At 37.9% G+C, this 23271-nt stretch overlaps 1 protein-coding gene and 1 long non-coding RNA gene across 14 annotated transcripts in view; one reads left to right on the forward strand and one right to left on the reverse strand.

Annotated features, from left to right (window-relative positions):
- The window catches only part of AP4B1-AS1 (AP4B1 antisense RNA 1), an 88626-nt gene that overhangs the window by 11235 nt on the left and 54120 nt on the right, over window positions 1-23271 (forward strand). The window lies entirely within an intron of this gene.
- The window catches only part of PTPN22 (protein tyrosine phosphatase non-receptor type 22), a 57949-nt gene that overhangs the window by 10036 nt on the left and 24642 nt on the right, over window positions 1-23271 (reverse strand). For 6 of the 13 annotated variants that reach the window (XM_047417630.1, XM_011541221.2, NM_001308297.2 and 3 more), the window contains 8 exons: window positions 14698-14774; window positions 13744-14561; window positions 11064-11147; window positions 10463-10593; window positions 9265-9292; window positions 6103-6183; window positions 5746-5861; window positions 1296-1326 (listed from right to left, as the gene is read on the reverse strand). In XM_047417630.1, coding sequence (XP_047273586.1) covers window positions 1296-1326; window positions 5746-5861; window positions 6103-6183; window positions 9265-9292; window positions 10463-10593; window positions 11064-11147; window positions 13744-14561; window positions 14698-14774 — 1366 coding nt within the window. Of the gene's footprint in view, window positions 1-1295; window positions 1327-5745; window positions 5862-6102; window positions 6184-6207; window positions 7834-9264; window positions 9293-10462; window positions 10594-11063; window positions 11148-13743; window positions 14562-14697; window positions 14798-23271 lie in introns of those variants that run through there. The other 7 variants (XM_047417631.1, XM_047417632.1, NM_001193431.3 and 4 more) reach the window with 4 other exon arrangements.

The raw sequence follows: 23271 nt of genomic DNA on the forward strand, positions 1-23271 counted from the left end.
TATACTTCAGCCATCATGAGTTGGTGTCAGAGATCAGCTATAATGGCAGTGATAGCAAACTAGCTCAAGAACCTGGAGCTTTTGGGTAGGGAGATAGAATGAAAACCCAAAAGGAAACCTTCTTTCTTAGACTATACCTACATCAGATTTTCTCAGTGCTTTTTGTCTCTCCCTATAGTACCAGTTTAATGTCAAATAACTGCTCTTTCACTGATTAACCAAATGTATCAAAAATTTTTTTAAGATTGTCACCATGGTTCTTTTTTTTTTTTTGAGACGGAGTCTCGCTCTGTTGCCCAGACTGGAGTGCAGTGGCGCAATCTTGGCTCACCGCAACCTCCGCATCCCGAGTTCAAGCAATCCTCCTGCCCCAGCCTTCCGAGTAGCTGGGACTACAGGTGCATGCCACCACACCCGGCTAATTTTTGTATTTTTAGTAGAGACGGGGTTACACTATGTTAGCCAGGCTGGTCTCAAACTGCTGACCTTGTGATCCACCTGCCTCGGCCTCCCAAAGTGCTGGGATTATAGGCATGAGCCACCACACCCGGCCATCACCATGGTTTTTATATTTTTTATTTGTAAATAAGATTTCTAAGATAATTTTCCACAGTTTCAGGACTCAATGGATTTTATTTTCATTACAACGTAGCAAAAATAGTAAGCAACAGACTTTTATTGCTAATAATACTTAGTAAAAATGGAAATGTGTCAATGCTTTGCTTATTTCATGAAGTCAACACATTTGTTCACAATATGCTTTGCTGTGACTATTTTCAAAGAAAATACATCTGAGGTTAGACTGCTGGAAATTTTAAATAATCCAATTGTATGACAGCATCTTAGGATGGGTAGAAAGTACCAAACATTGGCCGGGTGCAGTGGCTTATGCCTGTAATCCCAGCACTTTGGGAGGCCAAGGCAGGAGGATCACTTGAGCCCAGGAGTTCGAGACCAACCTGGGCAATATGGTGAAACCCCATCTCTGCTATTAAAATAAATTTTAAAAATAAATTTAAAATTTTTTTAATGCCATTGTACTAATTATTATTCTTGTGTATTAAACAGAAGACTTCTCATCGCCTACTCCCTGCCCAATATTAGTATTGTGAAGCCTAGCAAAAAAAAAAAAAAAAAAAAAAGGAGGCCTATGGGTGATTGTTCTGATTCATAGGACCCTATGGAGGCTCTGTTTAGGAATAATATTGTTAATCTTTTCACAATATTGGTTGGTTATATAAATAAAAATTACAAAATTGAGAAAACGATATTTTTAAACATAAGTACCAACTTACTCTTTTTCATGTTTCGCAAAATTTTCAAACTCTACAAAAGAAAGGAAAAATGTTAGTTTTTTTTCCTGTGAAACTTGAAATACTTTAATCAAATAGAAATATAGACTTAAGTGAAAAGAATTTAATTTCCTTAAAAATAGCCATGAAAATGTACAAAGTTGTTTTTCCATCTTGCCATTTTTAATTCAGTGCAAAACCTCTACTTGATTTTATCTTGCTATTTATATCACCCATGCAAGTATCACACTACATATTTTGAAATAATAGTATCAGAGGCTGAGCACAGTGGCTCACACCTGTAATCCCGGCACTTTGAGAGGCCAAGGCAGGAGGATTGTTTGAGCTCAGGAGTTCAGGACCATCTTAGGCAACATAGCAAGACCCCTGTCCCTACAAAAAGTAAAAAAAATATTAGCTGAATGTGGTAGCAGCTACTAGGGAGGCTGAGGCGGGAGGTCTGCTTGATCCCAGGAGTTCAAGGCTACAGTGAGCTCTGATCCCACCACTGCATTCCAGCCTGGGCGACAGAGTGAGAACATGTCTTTTAAAAAAGATTAATAAATGTTGTTGTTGTTGTTGTTGTTGTTGTTGAGATGGAGTCTCGCTGTGTCGCCCAGGCTAGAGTGCAGTGGCGTGATCTCAGCTCACTGCAACCTCTGCCTCCCGGGTTCAAGCGATCCTTCTGCCTCAGCCTCCTGAGTAGCTGGGACTACAGGCACCTGCTACCATGCCTGGCTAATTTTTTGTATTTTTAGTAGAGACAGGGTTTCACCATATTGGCCAGGCTGGTCTCAAACTCCTGACCTTGTGACCTACCTGCCTTGGCCTTCCAAAGTGCTGGGATTACAGGCGTGAGCCACCGTGGCCAGCCAATAAATTTTTTTTTAATTATGCTATCAGAATATTGACGGGGAGCAGTGGAGTGCTGGCAAGGTGGCTCATGCCTGTAATTCCAGCACTTTGGGAGGCTCAAGTGGGAGGTTCCCTTGAGGCCAGGGAGTTCAAGACCAGACTGGGCAACATGGTGAGACCCCATCCCTACCAAAAATTTTAAAAAGCCAGGCATGGTGGTGCAGACCTGTGTTCCCAGCCACTCGAAAGGCTGATGCAGGAGGATCACTTGAGTCCAGGAGGTCAAGGCTGCAGTCAGCCATATTTATGCCACTGCACTCTAGCATGGGCAACAGAGCAAGACCCTGTCTAAAAAAGAAAGAAAGAGAAAGAGAGAGACAGAGGAAGGGAAGTGAAGGGAGAAGGGGAAGGGAAGGGAAGGGAAGGGAAGGGAAGGGAAGGGAAGGGAAGGGACTCAGAGGGGTAGAGGGGATGAAATTCCCACTTCCCTCCTTTATTAGGACCATTTCAGAATCCACAATGGCTTCTGAATATATCCATGATACACAGCCATTTCCATTCTAGCCAAGAATTTTTGCCAGTCATATTCTGTATTCAATTTACTAAGGCCACCTTCCAAACTGTTAGCCATACTTCCTTCCTCTACTTTTATGGTGGAGTCTCTAATTTTTTTTTTTTTTTTTTTTTTTTTTTTGAGACGGAGTCTCGCTCTGTCGCCCAGGCTGGAGTGCAGTGGCGGGATCTCGGCTCACTGCAAGCTCCGCCTCCCGGGTTCACGCCATTCTCCTGCCTCAGCCTCCCAAGTAGCTGGGACTACAGGCGCCCGCCACTACGCCCGGCTAATTTTTTGTATTTTTAGTAGAGACGGGGTTTCACCGTTTTAGCCGGGATGGCCTCGATCTCCTGACCTCGTGATCCGCCCGCCTCGGCCTCCCAAAGTGCTGGGATTACAGGCGTGAGCCACCGCGCCCGGCCTGGAGTCTCTAATTTATCTCTTCAAGGAACCTACCCAAATTTCTTCTTTACTCCACATTTCTTCAGCATGTATGTTTTTAATCTGCTTCAGGCATTTTATTCTTCTTGATAATTTTCATGTTTCTCAAAGGTGTTCTGTTCCAACAGATTAACTATACTATTTTCAAGGGCAAATAGTTATCCTTTATGACATTTCTGTTTTCCTAACACCTAACAGAAATGTGCTCTTCCATGGAATAGATATTTAATACATTATTTATTTGTAACATTTTTAGTTATTTTTTAAAAAATAGATGATTTATTTACAAGTCAGGAAATCCTAGTAAAAATGCTCCCATCCTTGTCTTCAATCTACTACTCAGTTTCTAATGCTCCTCCTGTAGATAACCACTGTTAGTTTTTTATCCTCTGTTGTTAGTATCCTTCCAGTGTTACTTATGAATATATAAGTAAATACACATATGTATCATATTCCTTTTTTTAAGTAAAAGTTAATAAATTATATATAAATATATTGAGAAAGTCCTAATTCTTTTTTAGCTGCACAGTATTCCATTTGTATGGATATAACATGATTTATGATTTATTTAATCAGTTCCCCTAACAATTAACACTATTAATTATGTTGTTTCCAGTAATCTGCTCTTACAGATAATGCTGCAATGAATACTTGGTATACATGTCATTTCATGTGTATGCAAGCATATTTGTAGGATAAATTTCACTTCTAGTGGCTCACACCTGTAATCCCAGCACTTTGGGAGGCCAAGGCAGGAGGATCGCTTGAGTCTAGAAGTTGGCAACATAGGGAGACCCCATCCTAGACAACATAGCAAGACCCCATCTCTAATTTAAAAAAAAAATTGTAAAAAGAAGTTGTACCACTTGACATTCTCACCAACAACATTGAGTGTGCTTATTTCCCCATAGCCTCCCTAACAGAGAGTGTAATCAAACTTTTGGAATTTACCATTCTGATGGATGAAAAGCAATATGTCACTGTGGTTTTAATTTGTAATTTTTTCATTATGAATGAAATTGAACATATCAAATATATAAAGGGCATACCATGCTCATTTATTTTCTTCAAACCATCTGATCACCTATTTTTGCCCATTTTTATTTGGGGGTTATTATTTTCTATGAATTTCTAACAGTTCTTTATCTATTAGAGTAATAACCCCTTTGGCTGTGGTGCCAGTTGCAGATTTTTTTTCCTCCAATTTGTTCTTTGTCTTTTGATTTTTAAGGTGATTGTTTTACCATGCATACATTTTCTCTTTTATTTAGCTGAATTTATCTATCTCTTTTCTTATGGCCTCCGGATTTTGAGTAAGTTATAAAGGTCATTCACACTCCCAGGTTGTAAAAGACTCTTTCCAAGTTTCTTTAGGTCTTCTATGGATTGAGGTTTTTGTTTTTGTTTTTTTAACATTTTAATCATTTAGCCACTTAGAATTTATCCTAGTATAGATGTAAGGAATAGACCCTGCTTTTTTTCAGGTGGTTATTTGATCCAACAACAGTTATTAAACCATCCATCTTTATCCCCTGATTTTGAGATACCACCTTCATTGTATACTAAATTTCTACATATATTTGGATCTATTTCAGAACTTTCCCTTTTACTCTGCTCGTATATGTTTCTTTTTATACACTAATATGCCATTTTATATTTATATTTAAATTTTTGAGATGACGTCTCACTCTGTCACCCAGGCTGGAGTACAGTGGCATAATCTCTGCAGTCTCCACCTTCCAGGCTCGACCAATCCTCCCACCTCAGCCTCCTGAGTAGCTGGGACTGCAGGCACACAGCACCATGCCCGGCTAATTTTTTGTATTTTTGGTAGAGACGGGGTTTTGCCATGTTGCCCAGGCTGGTCTCGAATCCTGAGCTCAAGTGATCTGCCCGCCTTGGCCTCCCAAAGGCTGGGATTACAGGCATGAGCCACCATGCTGGGCCTATCATGCCATTTTAATTGAGGCTTTGCCATATTCGAATATCTGCTAAGGTGACTCTCTTTCATTGCTTTTCTTTTTATTTATTTTTATTTTTAAAAATTATTTTAGAAAGACATTTATCTAAACTATTTTTATTTATTATTTATTTGCAGGTTTCTGACTAGTCCTGCTTCCCCCTACTCCCATGTGAACTTTGAATTCAGTTTATCTAGTTCCAGAAATAAACAAGTTGGTAGTTTCCTTGGGCATCTTTTACATTTATAAATCAACCTTAGGGAGAAGTGGATTTTTTTTTTCTTCATTTATTTTTATTTTTATTTTTTAATTTTTATTTTAGGTTCAGGGGTATGTGTGCCAGTTTGTTATGTAGGTAAACTGTGTGTCACAAGGGTTTGCTGTACAGATAATTTTGTCACCCAGGTAATAAGCATAGTACCCAATAGGTATTTTTTCTGGTCCTCTCCCTCTGACAAATGCCTCTTTAAGTTGTATTTTTTCTTCTTTTTCGTTTCCTTCTATTAATTTTGACTGTTATAATATCAACAATTAGTTTTAATAAAGATATTTAATCTAATTTTCCATCTTAATGCTGGGGAGGGGGAAACTTTCAGTAAGGGAAAGTTTCCGGCATGTTTCCCAAAACTCTTATCTTCTTTACCTTACTCCTTGTGAAACTTTTTCCAGGAGTCTTCAGTGTCTGTTTTGAAGATGTTGAATTTTCCATGGTGTCAGGATAGCTAGTAGAATATGTTTCTATAGATTGGGCCTGCATACCTTAAAAAAAAAAAAGGAGAAAAACATGTTCCATTGCATACCTTCTTAAGCCTTCATGTTACATATAATAAATTGTTAGCTTGGCTTTTTTAGGCATTATTTTGACTATATATTAGGGGCTTTTAAAATGTATTCTTTTGTGTAATCATTTTTGTACCTTTCCATTTAGGTCCTACTTTATTGTTAATCTTTTAACATTTTCATTTTTATGATTTTTTTGAGAGAAAGTGCTACCACTTACAATCTTCATCGGCAAGAAAGAAGGACTCTAGAGTTCTTTCTGGGAGAGGAGGTGGGGGAGAAGAACGATCTTGATGTAGTTCTGTGATAAGAAAGTATACAATAAACCAGAGAAATCCATCAATTAAAAGTCATAAGTCAACACCCTTTTCTCTTTGTATAATTTTTTAATCAATCAATCTTAGCCGACAATCACCAAATAAAATATTATCTGAAAAATGACTGGAGCCTCAAGAACTTTGTTTTTCTACCTCGTTAGCCTATGAGCCTATGATTCATCAAAAATGTATAGCTCACTTCAGAAGTATTCTCCCAAAGACACTGAAACCGAATATAATCAAGCTTCTAGATCTAACACCCATTTTGCATGAAATATTGGGCATAGAGGATGTTAAATAAAACCATTGTGATACAATTAGCCAAATCTAGAAGACTAAGCAGTCTTTTAAGACAAATGACCCACTCTCTTCAACAAATAAATGATGTGAAAAGTATAGAAAGGAGAACGGTTATATATTTAAAAAGAAAATATTAAAAAAAGAAGGGAGAACTGTTACAGATTTCAAAAGACAGATTTAAGAAGACAAACATACAAATCAAATGAAATGCTTAGATTTTGTTTGAATCCAGATTTGAATAAACCAACTGTAAAAAGACATTTTTGAGACAATTGAAAACTGAACAGTCTGGATATTAGTTACTATTAAGGAATTATTATTAATTTTATTGGTGTGATAAGGTAGGTTTTAAATGTGTGTTTGAAATTTTCCATGATGAAGATTTTCAGTAATGGACATATTTTCCCATGATGTAAATTTCTGAAGATACAGATGGTATTCTACTGACATAAGCATTTAATTATATGGTGCTGAGTATTACTATTATATTAATTCCTTTTGAAAATGAAAATGCAGTAAAGTACAAGAGGTTCACATGTCATTGGTCATTGGGTTTGTTTAGTCCTTAGAATTTGTCTTATCAATAAATTGTCTTATTTCTTACATGCTAGGTAATACACACAAGTGTAGTACTTATTTCTAGCACCTAATAAAATAACTGGCATACAGTAGGCATTTAATAAATACTTAATAACTACTCTGAAGTAGTTCATCATCTTCCAGTTTGCTGTTAGGGAATATTCTGAAAACTAAAGTTGTTCGTTAACAGTATTCTAGTAATTATTTCCCTAAAATTCCATTTCATCTTAATACTCCCCTAACAAAGAACCCATAATGCCTGTTACTTACTACATTAAATCTAAATTCCTCTGCCTAACTTTGGGTGTAAATTCCTCTGCCTAACTTTGGGTAGTAAAATACACATAAGATTTGCCATTAGTGACATTTAGCACATTCACAGTATTGTACAACCATCACCACAATTTAGTTCCAGAATACTTTTTATCACCCTAGAAGGAAACTCTGCACCCATTAAGTCATCACTCCTTATTTTCCTCTTTCCCCCAGCCCCTGGCAATCACTAATCTGCTTCTATCTTTATGGATCTGTCTATTCTGGATATTTCATGTGACTAGCTTTTTTAAGTCCTTCAGAATCTTGCCCCACATCTTATTTACCCAAATTTATTTTCTGTATTTCACAAACTAGAATATCTATTGCAAAAAAAAAATAGCCTACTCACCATTTCTCCATACACATCATGCTCATTTCTACCTTTGAGTCATTGGTAGGCTGATCCCTGCTGCTGGAATTCCCTCCTTTTTTCTCTCTGTCTATACAAATTATTTAAAGTTCTTTCTTCCACTCAGCGAAACCTTTCCTAACCACTCCAGTAATGCCATCCTGTTTTCCCAGACTCCTGGTGATTACAGTCAGTGCCACACAGATTATCACTTAGTGGTTCCACGTGAGTATTAATTTTATCTACTCTATTTGAATATAAGCATTAAGTAGTACTCTTTCTCATACATCCTGCCTATTCTAACCCTGTGTAAGGTGCACAGAAGTTGCTTAGTAAAATGCTTATTTAATGATTAATAAAAATTATAATCGATAATATTTAATGAGGACTTATTTGACAAGTACTACGCTAAAAGCTTTACGACATTATTGTATTTAATCCTCATAAAAATTATCTAAGGGATTCTATTCTTTTATAAATGAGAAAAATAGAAGGAGAAAGTATGTAATTTAACCAAGTTTATGCATGTTGATAATTCTTCATAGACCAGGGATTTGACTTAAAGCCTATCTGACTCTAAAGCCCTTGTTTTTGTTGTCATGTTTTGTTTTGTTTTTGAGATGGAGTCTCGCTCTGTCACCCAGGCTGGTGTGCAGTGGCGCAATCTCAGCTCACTGCAACCTCCACCTCCCAGGTTCAAGCGATTCTCCTGCCTCAGCCTCCCCAGTAGCTGGGACTACAGGCACCCGCCACCACGCCCAGCTAATTTTTAGTAGAGACAGGGTTTCACCATGTTGGCCAGGATGGTCTCGATCTCTTGACCTCGTGATCCGCCAGCTTTGGCCTCCCAAAGTGCTGGGATTACAGGTGTGAGCCACTGCGCCTGGCCTGTTGTCATGTTTTTTAGAGACAGCATCTTGCTCTGTCATACAGGCTGGGTGCAGTGGTGCCATTATAGCTCACTGCAGCCTCAAATTCCTGGCAAAGCCCATGTTTTTTAACCTTTATATTATCTGTATATGTATTTGAATAATATGACAGTATGAATAAATATGTTAAGGGCAACTACCACTTGTGATAATGTAAACAAAGTACCTGGAAGTGCCCAATAAATGTTAGTTTTTGTTCTTCAATGCATGAAACAGGCAAAGCTCAGACAAGTACTGGAGAGGCAACAGCAAATTAAAGAATTAAGTGGCCAGAAATAATTTTTTGAATCACACTGTTAACAGTGGGAAAATCTCTATAGTGGAAAAGCTGCAAAGTTTTAAAAGATTCTCTCTGAAATAGTTTTTATATATTATTTCAGAGAGGTTATATATTAAGGAGCAGAATTCTAAAATCCTGTCTTCACCTTGCTCTTTACAAAATTTCTAGTCTGGGAAAGCCAGAAATAAATCAATGAATACTGGAAGCTATTATGGGAACCAAGTAACTTCCTGAAGTGAATTACTCTAAACTTAACGAACCATTCTTCCAATCTTAGGGCTAAATGTCATCTAAAGCCAAGAGAAATTTTTACCTGATTTAGGACTTCGGAGTTTTACACTCTAAAAGAAAAAAAGAAAGGAAAAGTGAAAGAAGAATATGTATACAAATTATACAAACTCAAAGCAAAAAATGGCATTTTTGAACTTATATGTAATATAGCTGTAGAGATAATTATGAAATGTAGACCCTATTTTTCCTAATTTGTAAGTGTGCTGAATTATGAAATGGCATCTTTCACTCTTACACTGATTTTTATATCCCATGGCAATTAGTCCTAAATTGATCCCCTTCTGACTTATTTCTGTCCCACCTGAAACATTTCCCTGAAAATTTAATTAGAGGTAAGTTGCGGAAATTGAAGTTACTTCATAACATTGGAAGAGTGACTGTTCTTTCCTCTGGGAGTTGTTAAAGTAAATATATGTGCCTATTATTAATGACAATAATAATTACTAGTACATTAGAATTATAATTTAAAAGGCAGAGAATATTTGCCTATCAGCATTGCAATTGTAGGTACTTTAAAATGTTTAATTATTTTTCTGATCTCTCAAATTTTAAGAGAATTGGTTCACAGACTATACAGAAATGCATAACATTTTTAGATACACTTCTATTTTTCCTCCAGAAGCAGGACACACCTACTTTCAATAATTATTTTCTATTTAATCCACAAACCCCTCCCACCCCCATCTCTGACTTTACCATCAACCACACTATTCCAAAAGGTTTATCTTAAGTAATATGCACACCTGTCATTCTCTATAACATATTATCACAGCAAACATGATATAGCCTACCAAATGACTACAGTGAACAAGCTTCCTACTTAAGTATGAAACATTTATTTTTGCCTTAACTATCCTTCAAGAATCAGCTCAAATGTTTCCTCTTTCACTAAATCTTCCTTGATCACTTCCAACCTGGAGGCATCTCCTACACTTGAAATTCTTTATCTTTCATATGACATTGATCACATTTGCTTTGTTATAATAAATATAGGCAAAAATAAAGATTTGTACACATCCTATATCTCTACTACTAGACAAGAAGCTTCTTACAGGCAAGAATTGTGTCTTATACATCCTTTTTATCCCAACATCCTCTAGCACATTGTTCTATATTTAGTATGTGCTTAGGATTTATTGAATGATGGGTGTTAAAAATACAAGGAGTAGAACTGTAGTCTATTGAATCTAAATGAGTAGAGTCATTAAAAAATTATTGACCTTGCTTGGTCTAAGTATCACAGAGTCATCAAATTTCTTTGGTTCAGATGTTCCACCCCATTCCAGTGATGTTCCAATTTTTACCTTCACAGCTGAGGATAAGGATTTGGGAACATTTGGTGAGAATTCTCCTGGAAGAAAGTGAATATAGTTCGGTTCTTAAGAATAGTATTCTTTTAGACATCAAATGTTGCTCAGCAAATAATACATAAAACATTGAAAGGACCTGAGAAGTAATCTAGTTAATTCACACTTCATTTTATTTTTTGAGACAGGGTCTTGCTCTGTCACCCAGACTGGAGTGCAGTGGCACAATCATGGCTTACTGCAGCCCCCAACTCCTGGGCTCAAGTGATCCTCTCACCTCCACCATCCAAATAGTTGGGACTACACATGCATGCTGCTATTGCTCTGCTAAATTAAAAAAAAAAAATTAGAGATGAGGTCTCACTATGTTGCGCAGGCTAGTCTTGAACTCCTGGCCTCAATGAACTCCTCAAACTCAAGGCTCACACATCAGCTTCCCAAAGTGCTGGAATTAAAGGCATGAGCCACCATGCCCATCCCACACTTTATTTTATACTTACTGAACTGTACTCACCAGCTTCCTCAACCACAATAAATGATTCAGGTGTCCATACAGGAAGTGGAGGGGGGATTTCATCATCTATCCTTGGAGCAGTTGCTATCCAAAATGTCAAAAATATTGTAACAATTGTTAATTAGAACAATCCAAAGGAAATTCTTATATTCTAATATTAAATATAAATTTACCATAATTTATATTTAAATTCCGTTGAAGCAACATTATCAGTAAAGTTGACACTTGTTCATTCAAGGAAAAAGCAAAATAAATTCTCTTAAGGTACAAACCCAGGAGGTTTTTGCTTATTCTTTAACATTTATTGTTTTAAAAGCTCAAAAGTAGGGCTGGGCGCGGTGGCTCACGCCTGTAATCCCAGCACTTTCGGAGGCCGAGGCGGGCAGATCACAAGGTCAGGAGATCGAAACCATCCTGGCTAACGTGGTGAAACCGTGTCTCTACTAAAAACACAAAACATTAGCCGGGCGTGGTGGCGGGCCCCTGTAGTCCCAGCTACTCGGGAGGCTGAGGTGGGAGAATGGCGTGAACCCGGAAGGCAGAGCTTGCAGTGAGCCGAGATTGCACCACTGCATTCCAGCCTGGGTGGCAGCAGGACACTCCGTCTCAAAAAATAATAATAATAATAAATAAATAAAAGCTCAAAAACATTTTGATTGAGTCACGGTGTATCAGTTAACATAAAATATTATATTAATTTTGGAAGCTTTGAATTAACTTTTACATAACTCCTTTTGTTTTACATAGACTATATAATAAAACATTATAAAGTGCTTTGACGTGTAAAAGGTTCAGTTATACATTAGGTAAAATCATAAAGATTTCAGTATCTCTTCATTCTATACAAAATTCAAGAATATGGGTATTTTTCCATTTTACAAAACAACAGTATAGGATAGTCTTCTGTATTTCTATACAAACATTCAGTTTTTATTAAACATTTTAAATGGTATTACAAGAAACTGCCACCAGATGGCACATGACGATATTGTTACAATCCCTGAAAATAAGGGTATGTTTTTATTAATTAATTTTTTTTTGAGACGGAGTCTCGCTCTGTTTTTTAATGATGCAGATGCTCAGAGAAGTTTAAGGTATAAGAAAAGAAAATACATTTAAATGTTTAAAAATGTATAAAATAATCTAATCACAGAAGGAACATCTTAGATCCAGATAAGATATTTTTGCAACAAAGCTACAAATGATCTACACAACTATTTATTAAGAAACTCTACAATAAATAATGTTATAGAGCAAAAGTTTTCTCCACCTCCTATCTATGTAGAATGTGCTTTACAAATTATTTGATGATATACCTAAGGGAGTTAAACTTGTTCATTGCTTTCCCTCATCATCTTCCACATCAAATTATTGTCATCATCTCTAACAGGGTGCTCATTTCTACTTTCAAACTAATCAGTAAAACAGAACAATATGCATTATATGCAAAAATACAGAATTATAAAAGAGACAAAACATGAAAGTAAAGGTATACATATGATAAAATTTTTACACAAAATACTAAACATGTATTGTCATCTACGAGATTACTACAAAAGAGCAAGAAATCAGGTTCTCCCCTTCCAAATCCTGCAGGAAGATAATTCAATTTTTAGCAATATGTTCAACTCATTTTAGCCACATAATTGTGCAACAAAAAATCTGGGTGCTATTGATCAAATTTTTTTCTGCTCTTCCTTTGGAAGCTGCTTCTATATGTTAAGAGTAAATTCTGAAGCTAGGTGTGGTGGCTTGCACCTGTAATCCCAGCACTTTGGGAGGCCAAGGTGGGAGGATTGCTTGAGGCCAGATTTTCAAGACCAGGCTGGGCAACATAGCAAGACCCCATTTCTAAAAAAAAAAAAAATTAGCCAGGCATGGTGGCGTGTCCCTGTGGTCCCAGCTACTTGGGAGGCTGAGGTGGGAGGATTGGTTGAGCCCAGGACATCAAGGCTGCAATGAGCAATGTCCACACCACTGCACTCCAGCATGGGCAACATAGTGAGATTCTGTTTCAAAAAATATTTTTAAAAAACAGTATATTGTGAGCCTTTGATATACATTTCTAGAAATGAGGCGTGCCTTCTTTAGAAGCACTCCTGCTGGTACAGATCCTGTACCAGATCTTGATTGCCTCCATTGTTGCCTGTTTCATGGAATATTATGTTTGATGTTGCTATTTTCAACTTATTACAGCATTAAAACACTCCTGGAATGTATTTATTTGAGGAGTAGCAGGAAGAAGAAAGAGAAGGAAGCAGGCTAGGCGTGGTGGCTCATGCCTGTAATCTCAGCACTTTGGGAGGCCGAGGCAGGCAGATCACGAAGTCAAGAGATCAAGACCATCCTGGCCAACATGGTGAAACTCCATCTCTGCTAAAAATACAAAAATTAGCCGGGCGTGGTGGCGCGCGCCTGTAATCCCAGCTACTCAGGAGGCTGAGGCAGGAGAATTGCTTGAACTCTGGAGGCGGAAGTTGCATTGAGCCAAGATTGCACCACTGCACTCCAGCCTGGGTGACAGAGCGAGACTCCATCTCAAAAAAAAAAAAGAAAAAAAAGAGAAAAAAGAAAGAAAGAGAAGAAGCAGAGGAGAAGAGGGAAGAGGAGAAGAAACCAACTATTCTATAGAAACAAAATGAAATCTAAAATTCTATGCAAACTTTAAAAAATAACTTACCTAGTACAGCTGACTCCTGGTTCAATAGTGAGGAAATATTGGTTGGAGAATTCAGTGATAAAGAATCATGTGAATTGTAATAAGAGAAGAGGGATGTAGAGGATGTTGGCAACAGAGAAGAAGGAAAAACAGTTCCATCTTGCTTCTCAGGTAAATCAAGAGACATCTTAGAACTGGTACCACTTGGAGGCCATGATGAAAAATAAGGATTTTCCACTAAAGGTATGTAAGAATATACACCAAGAGCACTAGAGTCATGGTGCTTTACATTAGAGGCATTACGTATTTGGTGTTTAGAGTCATATGGCAGTGAATAATTCAGTTCTGCTGAAGAAACATGCATTACTTTTTGAGCCTGCATCTCTACAAAACAAGAATCATGTGGTTGAGATTCCAAATAAGAAAAGTTTTCCTTGCTGTCCACCTCCTTGGTTTCTCTCTGCTGTATCAATTCAAAAGGAGTTGATTTGGTCCGTGTTATTGGCACCTTTGAATTAAAATATCTTCCTGCTGCATTTACAGGTTTAGAATTAGAACATCCCTCAAACAAAAGAGAGCCCAAATCCAAACTTTGATGCTTCTGAAGAGGCTCCCCAACTATTGGAAATGCCTTTGTCTGCCATTTCATGGTTGTGTCAGCATTTTTGTCAAAACTGTAATTTAGCTCCAGAAAGTCAAAAGAAGTGCTTGATTTAGCAGGGTGCAAAACTAGCTCTTCTTTTGCACTTATTTCAGAAGTCCTAAAGTCAAAGGAAGAAGATTCTTTGATTTCCATTTTTGTCCTTTGTTGGTTCATCATTTTTGCTGCTTTTGTGGTACTAAAACAAAAAGAAAGCGTAATGATGACACCATACCCCAAACAGGCCGCTTCCTAGCATCACAATGATGTATAAGCATGAGATTCATCTCCCAGACACAATTAGTCAACATTTAGATATATAAAATTGTACTCACCTTTTTGGTAAATTAGGAGAATAAGAGTCTGCTTGGAGAGTGTGATTTTTCTCAGGAATACAATGCTTTGCTTGACTCTTTAAAAGAAATAAGTCAGAGGCTGGTTTTCAGTGAAGCAATGTCAATAAGATATTTTAATATTTAGAAGGCTGAAAAGTAATTTTTCAGGAAATAAAAAGATTTAAAATAATTCATGAAAGAGTTAGATTAGCTTCCAAAATATTGAACTCAGCAAGAACTCGTTCATATACTGAGATGGCCAGAATAAAGGATTAATAGTATTATAGAAACTAGAAAGGATTTGTGTATATCATCATCTTTTCAAATGTGGGAGTTTTAAAAATGTTCTTTGGTGGGTAACTTTAGTCTCAAAAACACTCTGCCTTTAGAAATTTCAGCATCTCAGCCCTTTACAGGTACTTATTAGGTCTCTGGACCTATTTCATCTTGTTCTACTCTTTTCCTCCTCACTATGCTCTAGGTATACTGGTTTTCTTGCCATTACTTTAGCATGCCAAACTTATTTCCAAGTCAAGGCTTTTACACTTACTATTCCCCCTGATTAATATATTTTTGCTCCAAATTTTGCATGGCTGGCTCCTTCTAAGTAATTAGATCTCTGCTTAACTGTCATCTGCATAAGGAAACCTTCCCTGACCACCCAACCTAAAATCACATTTCTTCCCCTGTCCAGCCATGCTCAATCTTCTTCTTTTTTAAGAGACAGGGCCTCGCTGTATTGCCCAGTCTGGCCTCAAACTTCTGGGCTCAAGCAGTCCTCCTACCTCAGCCTCCCAAGTAGCTGGGACACTACAGGTGTGTACCACAGTGCCTGGCCTCAATCTTTTTTTTTTTTTTTGAATTAAGTTAGGGTCTTATTCTGTTACCCAGGCTGGAGTGCAGTGGCACAAACATGGCTCACTGCGGTGTTGACCTCCTGGGTTCAAGTCCTCCTCTCACCTCAGCTTCCCAATCCTTATTTTTTATAGCAATTATCATATTATGAAATATGTTATTGTGGTTCATAGAATCTTAAAATATAATTGATTATAAAATATATCTTCATTTCAGAGATGTTAAAATCCATTTTGAACATCTCAGTTGATGCAGAAAAAGCGTTTGACAAAATTCATGTTAAAATCACTTAACAAAATAGGAATATAAGGAAATGTTCTCAACATGATAGAGGCCATATATGAAAACCCATAACTAACATCATATTCATACATGAAAGACTTAAACTTTCCCCTAAGATCAAAAACAAGACAAGAATGCCAACTTTTACCACTTCTATTCAACATAGTACTAAAGTTCTAGCCAAAGTAATTTTTTTAATTAATTTTGTTCTTAGGCAAGAAAAAAAAAAGCATTCAAATTGGAAAAAAAGGCTGCGCACAGTGGCTCACGCCTGTAATCCCAGCACTTTGGGAGGCCAAGGTGAGTGGATCCCTTGAGGTCAGGAGTTTGAAACCAGCCTGGCCAACATGGTGAAAGCCCGTCTCTATTAAAAATATAAAAATTAGCCGGGCATGTGGTGCACACCTGTAATCCCACCTATTCGGGAGGCTGAAGCAGGAGACTTGCTTGAGCCCAGGAGGCGGAGGTTGAAGTGAGCCGAGATCGTACCACTGCATTCCAGCCTGGGCGACAGAATAAGACCCTAACTTAATTCCATCTCAAAAAAAAAAAAAAAATTGGAAAAAAAGGAAGTAAAATTATCTCTAGTCTCAGATGACATGATTTTATATATGGGATTCCACAAAAAATCTGCTAGAGCTAATAAACAAATTCAAAGTTGCAGGATGTAAAATGAACACATAAAACGAGTTGCATTTCTATACATTAGCAATGAACAATCTGAAAAGAACATTAAGGAAACAGTTATATTTATAATGGCATCAAAAAGAATAAAATACTTAGGAATAGATTTAACCAAGGAGGCAAAAGACTTGTATACTGAAAACTACAAAGCTTTGCTGAAAGAAATTAAATAAGATATAAATAAATAGACATTCAAAGTGATCTACAAGTGCAATGCAATTCTTATCAAAAACCCAATGGCATTTTTACATAATTTGTTTAAAAAACAGACTAAAATTCATGGAATTTCAAGGGGCACTGAACAGTCAAAACAATCTTGAAAAAGAAGAGCAAAGTTGAATGACACACTACCTGATTTCAAAAATTGCAACAGAGCTACAGTAATTAAAACAGTGTGGTACTGACATAGTATAGACTAAAGACCAATGGAATAGAAGAGCTTTGAAAAAAACATTTACATATGGTGGGCAATTGATTTTTGACAAAAGTGCCAAGAAAATTCAATGGAGAAAGGAGAGTGTTTTCAATAAATGATTCTGGGAAAAACTGAATATACACATGCAAAAGAATGAAGTTGAGGCTGGGTGCGGTGGCTCATGCCTGTAATCCCAGCACTTTGGGAGGCTGAGGCGGGTGGATCACCTGAGGTCAGGAGTTTGAGACCAGCCTGACCAACATGGAGAAACCCCGTCTCTACTAAAAATACAAAATTAGCCAGGCATGGTGGCGCATGCCTGTAATCCCAGCTACTCAAGAGGCTGAGGCCGGAGAATCACTTGAACCAGGGAGGTGGAGGTTCCAGTGAGCCAAGATCACGCCATTGCACTCCACCCTGGGCAGCAAGAACGAAACTCCATCTCAAAGGAAAAAAAAAAAGAGAGAGAATGAAGTTGGACCCTTATCTTATGATACAGAAATTAACTCAAAAATTGATCAAATACCTAAACATAAGAAGTAAAATGTAAAACTCTTATAAGAAAATGGGCAAGCTTCATGACATTGGATTTGGCAACGATTTCTTGGATAGGACACCAAAGGCACAAACAACAAAAGAATAATAGGAAAATTGGACTTCATTGAGATTAAGACTTTTACACACCAAAGGACACAAAGGCAAAAAGGCAACCCATTGACTGAATGGAAGACGGTATTTGCAAATCACATATCTGATAAGGGATCAATATCCAGAATACATAGAGAACTCCTAAAACTCAACAACATGTAAACAACTCTTTTTTTTTTTTTTTTGGTGGAGGGGGACAGAGTCTTACTCTGTCACCCAGGCTAGAGTGCAGTGGTGCGATCTCGGCTCACTGCAGCCTCTGCCTCCTGGGGTCCAGCAATTCTCCTGCATTAGCCTCCCAAGTACCTGGGATTACAGGCACACGCCACCACACCCGGCTAATTTTTGTCTTTGTAGGAGAGACGGGATTTCACCATGTTGGCCAGGCTGATCTCAAACTCCTGACCTCAAGTGATCTGCCCGCCTCGGCCTCCCAAAGTGCTGGGATTACAGGCGTGAGCCACCGCATACAGCCTCAATTAAAAAATGAGCAAAATCTGGGCACCATGGCTCATGCTTTTAGTCTCAGCTACTGGGGAGTTTGAGATGGGAGGACTCCTTGAGGCCAGGAGTTCAAGACTAGCCTGGGCAACATAATGAGACCCTGTCTCTAAAAAAAAAATTAAAAAAAAATTAGCTTGGTGTGGTAGTGCATACCTATAGTTTCAGCTACTCAGGAGCTGAGGTGGGAGGATCACTTAAGGCCCAAGAGTTTGAGGCTTCAGTGAGCCATGATGGTGCCACTGGACTCCAGCCTGAATGACAGAGCAAGACCCTGACTAAAAAAAAAGTAGGGGTGGGTGGGAGAAGGCAAAGGACTTGAAGAGACATTTTTCCAAAGAGGATATACAAATGGCCAATAAGACCACAGAAAGGTGTCTAATCATTAGGAAAATATAAATCAAAATCACAATGAGATACCACTTCACACCTAATTAGGATGGCTGCCATCAAAAAAACAAAATAGGCCAGGCGTGGTGGCTCACGCCTGTAATCCCAGCACTTTGGGAGGCCGAGGCCGGCGGATCACGAAGTCAAGAGATTGAGACCATCCTGGCTAACATGGTGAAACCCCATCTCTACTAAAAATACAAAAATTATCTGGGCGTGGTGGCATGTGCCTGTAATCCCAGCTACTTGGGAGGCTGAGGCAGGAGAATCGCTTGAACCCGGGAGGCAGAGGTTGCATTGAGCCAAGATTGCGCCACTGCACTCCAGCCTGGCAACAGAGCGAGACTGTGCTCAAAAGACAAACAAATAAACAAAAAACAGAAAATAAAAAGTGTTGGCCAGGATGTAGAGAAATTGGAATCCTTGTGTACTGTTGGTGGGAATGTAAAATGGCACAGCTGCTATGGAAAAGAGTATGGCTGTTCTAAAAGAAAACTAAACGGCCGGGCGCGGTGGCTCACGCCTGTAATCCCAGCACTTTGGGAGGCCGAGGCGGGCGGATCACGAGGTCAGGAGATCGAGACCATCCCGGCTAAAACGGTGAAACCCCGTCTCTACTAAAACTACAAAAAATAGCCGGGCGTAGTGGCGGGCGCCTGTAGTCCTAGCTACTTGGGAGGCTGAGGCAGGAGAATGGCGTGAACCCGGGAGGCGGAGCTTGCAGTGAGCCGAGATCCCGCCACTGCACTCCAGCCTGGGCGACAGAGCGAGACTCCGTCTCAAAAAAAAAAAAAAAGAAAACTAAACATAGAATTACCACATGTAATTCCACTTCTGGGTTATACCCAAAGTAATTAAAAGCAGGGATACAAATATATATTTGTATACCCATGGTCATCACAGCATTACAGCAGCCAAAAAGTGGAAGGAACTCAAGTATCCATTGATGGATGAATGGATAAACAAAATGTGTGTGTGTGTGTGTGTGTGGTGTGTGTGTGTATAAACATATACAATGGAATATTATTCAGCCTTAATGAGTAAGAAAATTGTGACACGTTACAACATGGATGAACCTTGAGGACATTACGCTAAGTGAAATAAGCCAGACACAAAAGGACAAATACTATATGATTCCACCCATATCAGGTACCTACAGTAGTCAAATTCATAGAGACAGAAAGTAGAAGGATGGTTGCCAGGGGCCAGTGGGAGGGGAGAATAGGGAGTTATTGTTTAATGGATACAGAGGGTCTGTTTAGAATAATGAAAGTTCCAGAAATAGTGATAGTCACTCAACATTGTGAATATACTTAATGACACTACATTGTACACTTAAAAATGGCTAAAATAGTAAATTAAAATGATATATTATACCACAATAAAAATATTAATTGGAAAGTATCTCTTCCTTTTCTATTTCCTAGTATAGACTGTATAAAATTGGTGTTAATTCTTCCTTAACCATTTGATAGAATTCTCTAGTGAAACTATGTGGGCCTGAGATTTCTTTTTTGGGAGTTTTAAAATTACAAATTCAATTTTTCTAATCACTAAGGGGCTACTCAAATTATCTATGTCATGCTGAGTAAATTGTGGTAGATTGTGTTTGAGAAAATAATCCATTCTGGGCCGGGTGTGGTGACTCACGCCTGTAATCCTAGCACTTTGGGGGGCCAAGGCAGGAAAATCCCTTGAGCCCAGGAGTTCAAGACCAGCCTGGACAACATAGCTCCTATTTCATTCCTGATATTGGTAATTTTCATTTTCTCCCTTTTTATCTGTGTCAGTTTTTAAAAAGGTTTGTCAATTTCATTGATCTTGTTAAAGAACGATTTTTTTTTATCTTTTAAAAAAACCAGGCTGGATGCCTTGGCTCACGCCTGTAATCCCAGCACTTTGGGAGGCCGAGGCAAGCAGATAGTCAGGAGTTCAAGACCAGCCTGGCCAACATGGCAAAACCCCATCTCTACAAAAATAGAAAAATTAGCTGGCCATGGTGGCACATACCTGTAGTCCCAGCTATTTGGGAGGCTAAGGCAGGAGAATCGCTTGAACCTGGGAGGTGGAAGTTGCAGTGAGCCAAGATCATGCCACTGCACTCCAGCCTGGGTGATAGAGTGAAACTCTGTCTCAAAAAAACAAAAACAAACAAAAAACCAATTCTGATTTTTCTCTATTATTGTTTCCAATTTCATTGATTTCTGCTCTTTATTTCTTTTTCTATATTCTTGGAGTGACAGCTTAGATTATTGAGACCTATACTGTTTTCTAATGGATGCACTTAGTGCTATAAAGTTCCCTCTCAGTACTGCTATTGCTTCTGTCTCATAAATTTTGGTATGTTGTATTTTCATTTTTGTTTAATTCAGTGTGTTTCTTTATTTCCTTTGAGACTTTCTCTTTGACCCAATAGATTATTTAGAAAAGTGTGGTTTGATTTCCAAGGATTTGGATACTTTTCCGTTACCTTTCTGTTACTGATTTTTTTCTTTTTTTAATTAGTTAATTAATTTTTGAGACAGGGTCTTGCTCTGTCACCCAGGTTGGAGTGCAGTGGCACAATCACAGTTGACTGCAGCCTTGACCTCCCAGGCTCAAGCAATCCTCCCACCTCAGCCCCCTGAGTAGCTGGGACTACAGGCACATGCCATCACACCTGGCTGAGTTTTTAATTTTTGTAGAGACGGGGGTCCCCCTGTGTTACCCAGGATCATTTTGAACTCCTGGCCTCAAGGAATCCTCCCACCTTGGCCTCTCAAAGTGCTAGGATTACAGGCAAGAGCCACCATGCCCGGTCTCTGTTACTGATTTCTAATTTGATTCTATTGTGGTTAGAAAATATATTCTGTATAATTTTGGTTGTTTTGTTTTTGTTTTTGTTTTTTTTTTTTTTGAGACAGAGTCTCGCTTTGTTGGCCAGGCTGGAGTGCAGTGATGCTATCTCAGCTCACTGCAACCTCCGCCTACCAGGTTCGGGTTCAAGTGATTCTCCTTCCTCAGCCTCCCACGTAACTGGGATTACAGGTGCCCACCACCACACCTGGCTAATTTTTGTATATTTAGTAGAGATGGGGTTTGGCCAGGCTGACCAGGCTGGTCTCAAATTCCTGACCTCATGTGATCCGTCTGTCTTGGCCTCCCAAAGTGCTGGGATTACAGGTGTGAGCCACTGCTCCCAGGCTAATTTCAATTTAAAAAAATTTTTCAAATTTTTCAGATTTTTATGGCTCAGGATATACTCTATCTTGATATATATTTTCCATAAGCACTTTAAAAGAATGTGTATTCTTATTAGGTAGAGTGTTCTGTAAGTGTCAACTAGATTTTGTCAGTTAGTGGTGTTGAGTTCACCTATATCCTTGCTGGTTTTCTGTCTAGTTCTATCAAAATTGTTGAAAGAAGAATATTGAAGTCTCTGGCTATGACTGTGAATCATCTGTTTCTCTCCTTTAAGTTCTATGAGTTTTTCTTCACATATTTTGCAATTTCATTGTTTGGTCTATATACATTTAGGACTATTATGTCTTACTGGCAGATTGACCCTTTTATCATTATCTCCCTATCTCTGATAATTGTCTTTGCTCTGAAGTCTACTTTATCTGATATTAACATAGCCACTCCTGCTTTCCTTTGATTCATGTTTACTGATATAACTTTTTTCCATTCCTTTGTTTTTAGCCCTCTTATATATTTGAAGTGAGTTTCTCATAGACAACATATAGTTGAATTGTTTTTTAATTCTCTATGCCAGTCTGGCAATTCACTCTACCACCAGTAAATATTGGTGTATTTAGGCTTATATGTTTAATGTAATTATTAATATGGTCAAGTTTCATTCTGCTATTTTATTTTTTGTTTTCTCTTTATTCTTTCTGTTTCTCATTGCTCTTTTCTTTTTCCTGATGCTTTCTCTTTCCTGCATTTTTTAGAATTCCATTTTGATTTACCTATAGTGTGTTTTATTATATCTCTTTGTATAGCCTTTTTTTAGTCATGGCTCTAGATATAGATACAGATATATGGTATCACACTCTACTGGTGTTATCATTTTACCAGTTCAAGTGTGGAAGCCTTACCTTCCTTTATGTTTCTTACCATCCTCCTGTTATAATCATTTAAAATATTTCCTTTAATACATTTAGAACAACATCAGTCAGTGTTATATTTTTGCTTCAATTGTAAAACATAATTTATAAAACTCAAGAGGAGAAGGAAAGTTTATTATATTTACCCACTTTTGTTTATTATGTTCTTTCTTCCTTCTTTCATCATTCCCTTTCGGTTTAGAAAGTTTCCTTTGCCATTTTTTTAGGGTAGGTCTACTGGTAACAGATTATCTTAGTTTTTCTTCATCTGAGAATGTCTTGATTTCCCCTTCAGCCCTGAAGGATGTTTTCACTGGGTGTAAAACTCTGGATTGACAGTTATTTTCTTTCAGCACTTGGAAAATATTGTGCCACTTCCTTCTGACCTCTATGATTCCTAATGCAAAATCTGCTGTCATTCTAATTGTTTTCCTCCTACAGTTAAGGTGTCATCTTTTTCTGGCTGATTTCTAAAACTTTTTTGTCGTTTTTTGTTTTCAGAAATTTAATTATGATGTATCTTCCAGTACTTTTTCAGCCCTGCCCTTTCTATTTTCTTTCTGGATTTTGATGACCCAATGCTAGATTTTTTTTTTTTTTTTTTTTGGTCCCTTAGTTCCCTGCAGCTCTGTTTATTTTTTTTTCAGTCTATTTTATCACTGTTGCTCAGACTGGGCAATTTCTATTGTTCTACTTTTCAATTCATTAATT

This window comes from Homo sapiens, chromosome 1 (genome assembly GCF_000001405.40).
Source record: "Homo sapiens chromosome 1, GRCh38.p14 Primary Assembly".
In the NCBI taxonomy this organism is placed as follows: Eukaryota; Metazoa; Chordata; class Mammalia; order Primates; family Hominidae; genus Homo; species Homo sapiens.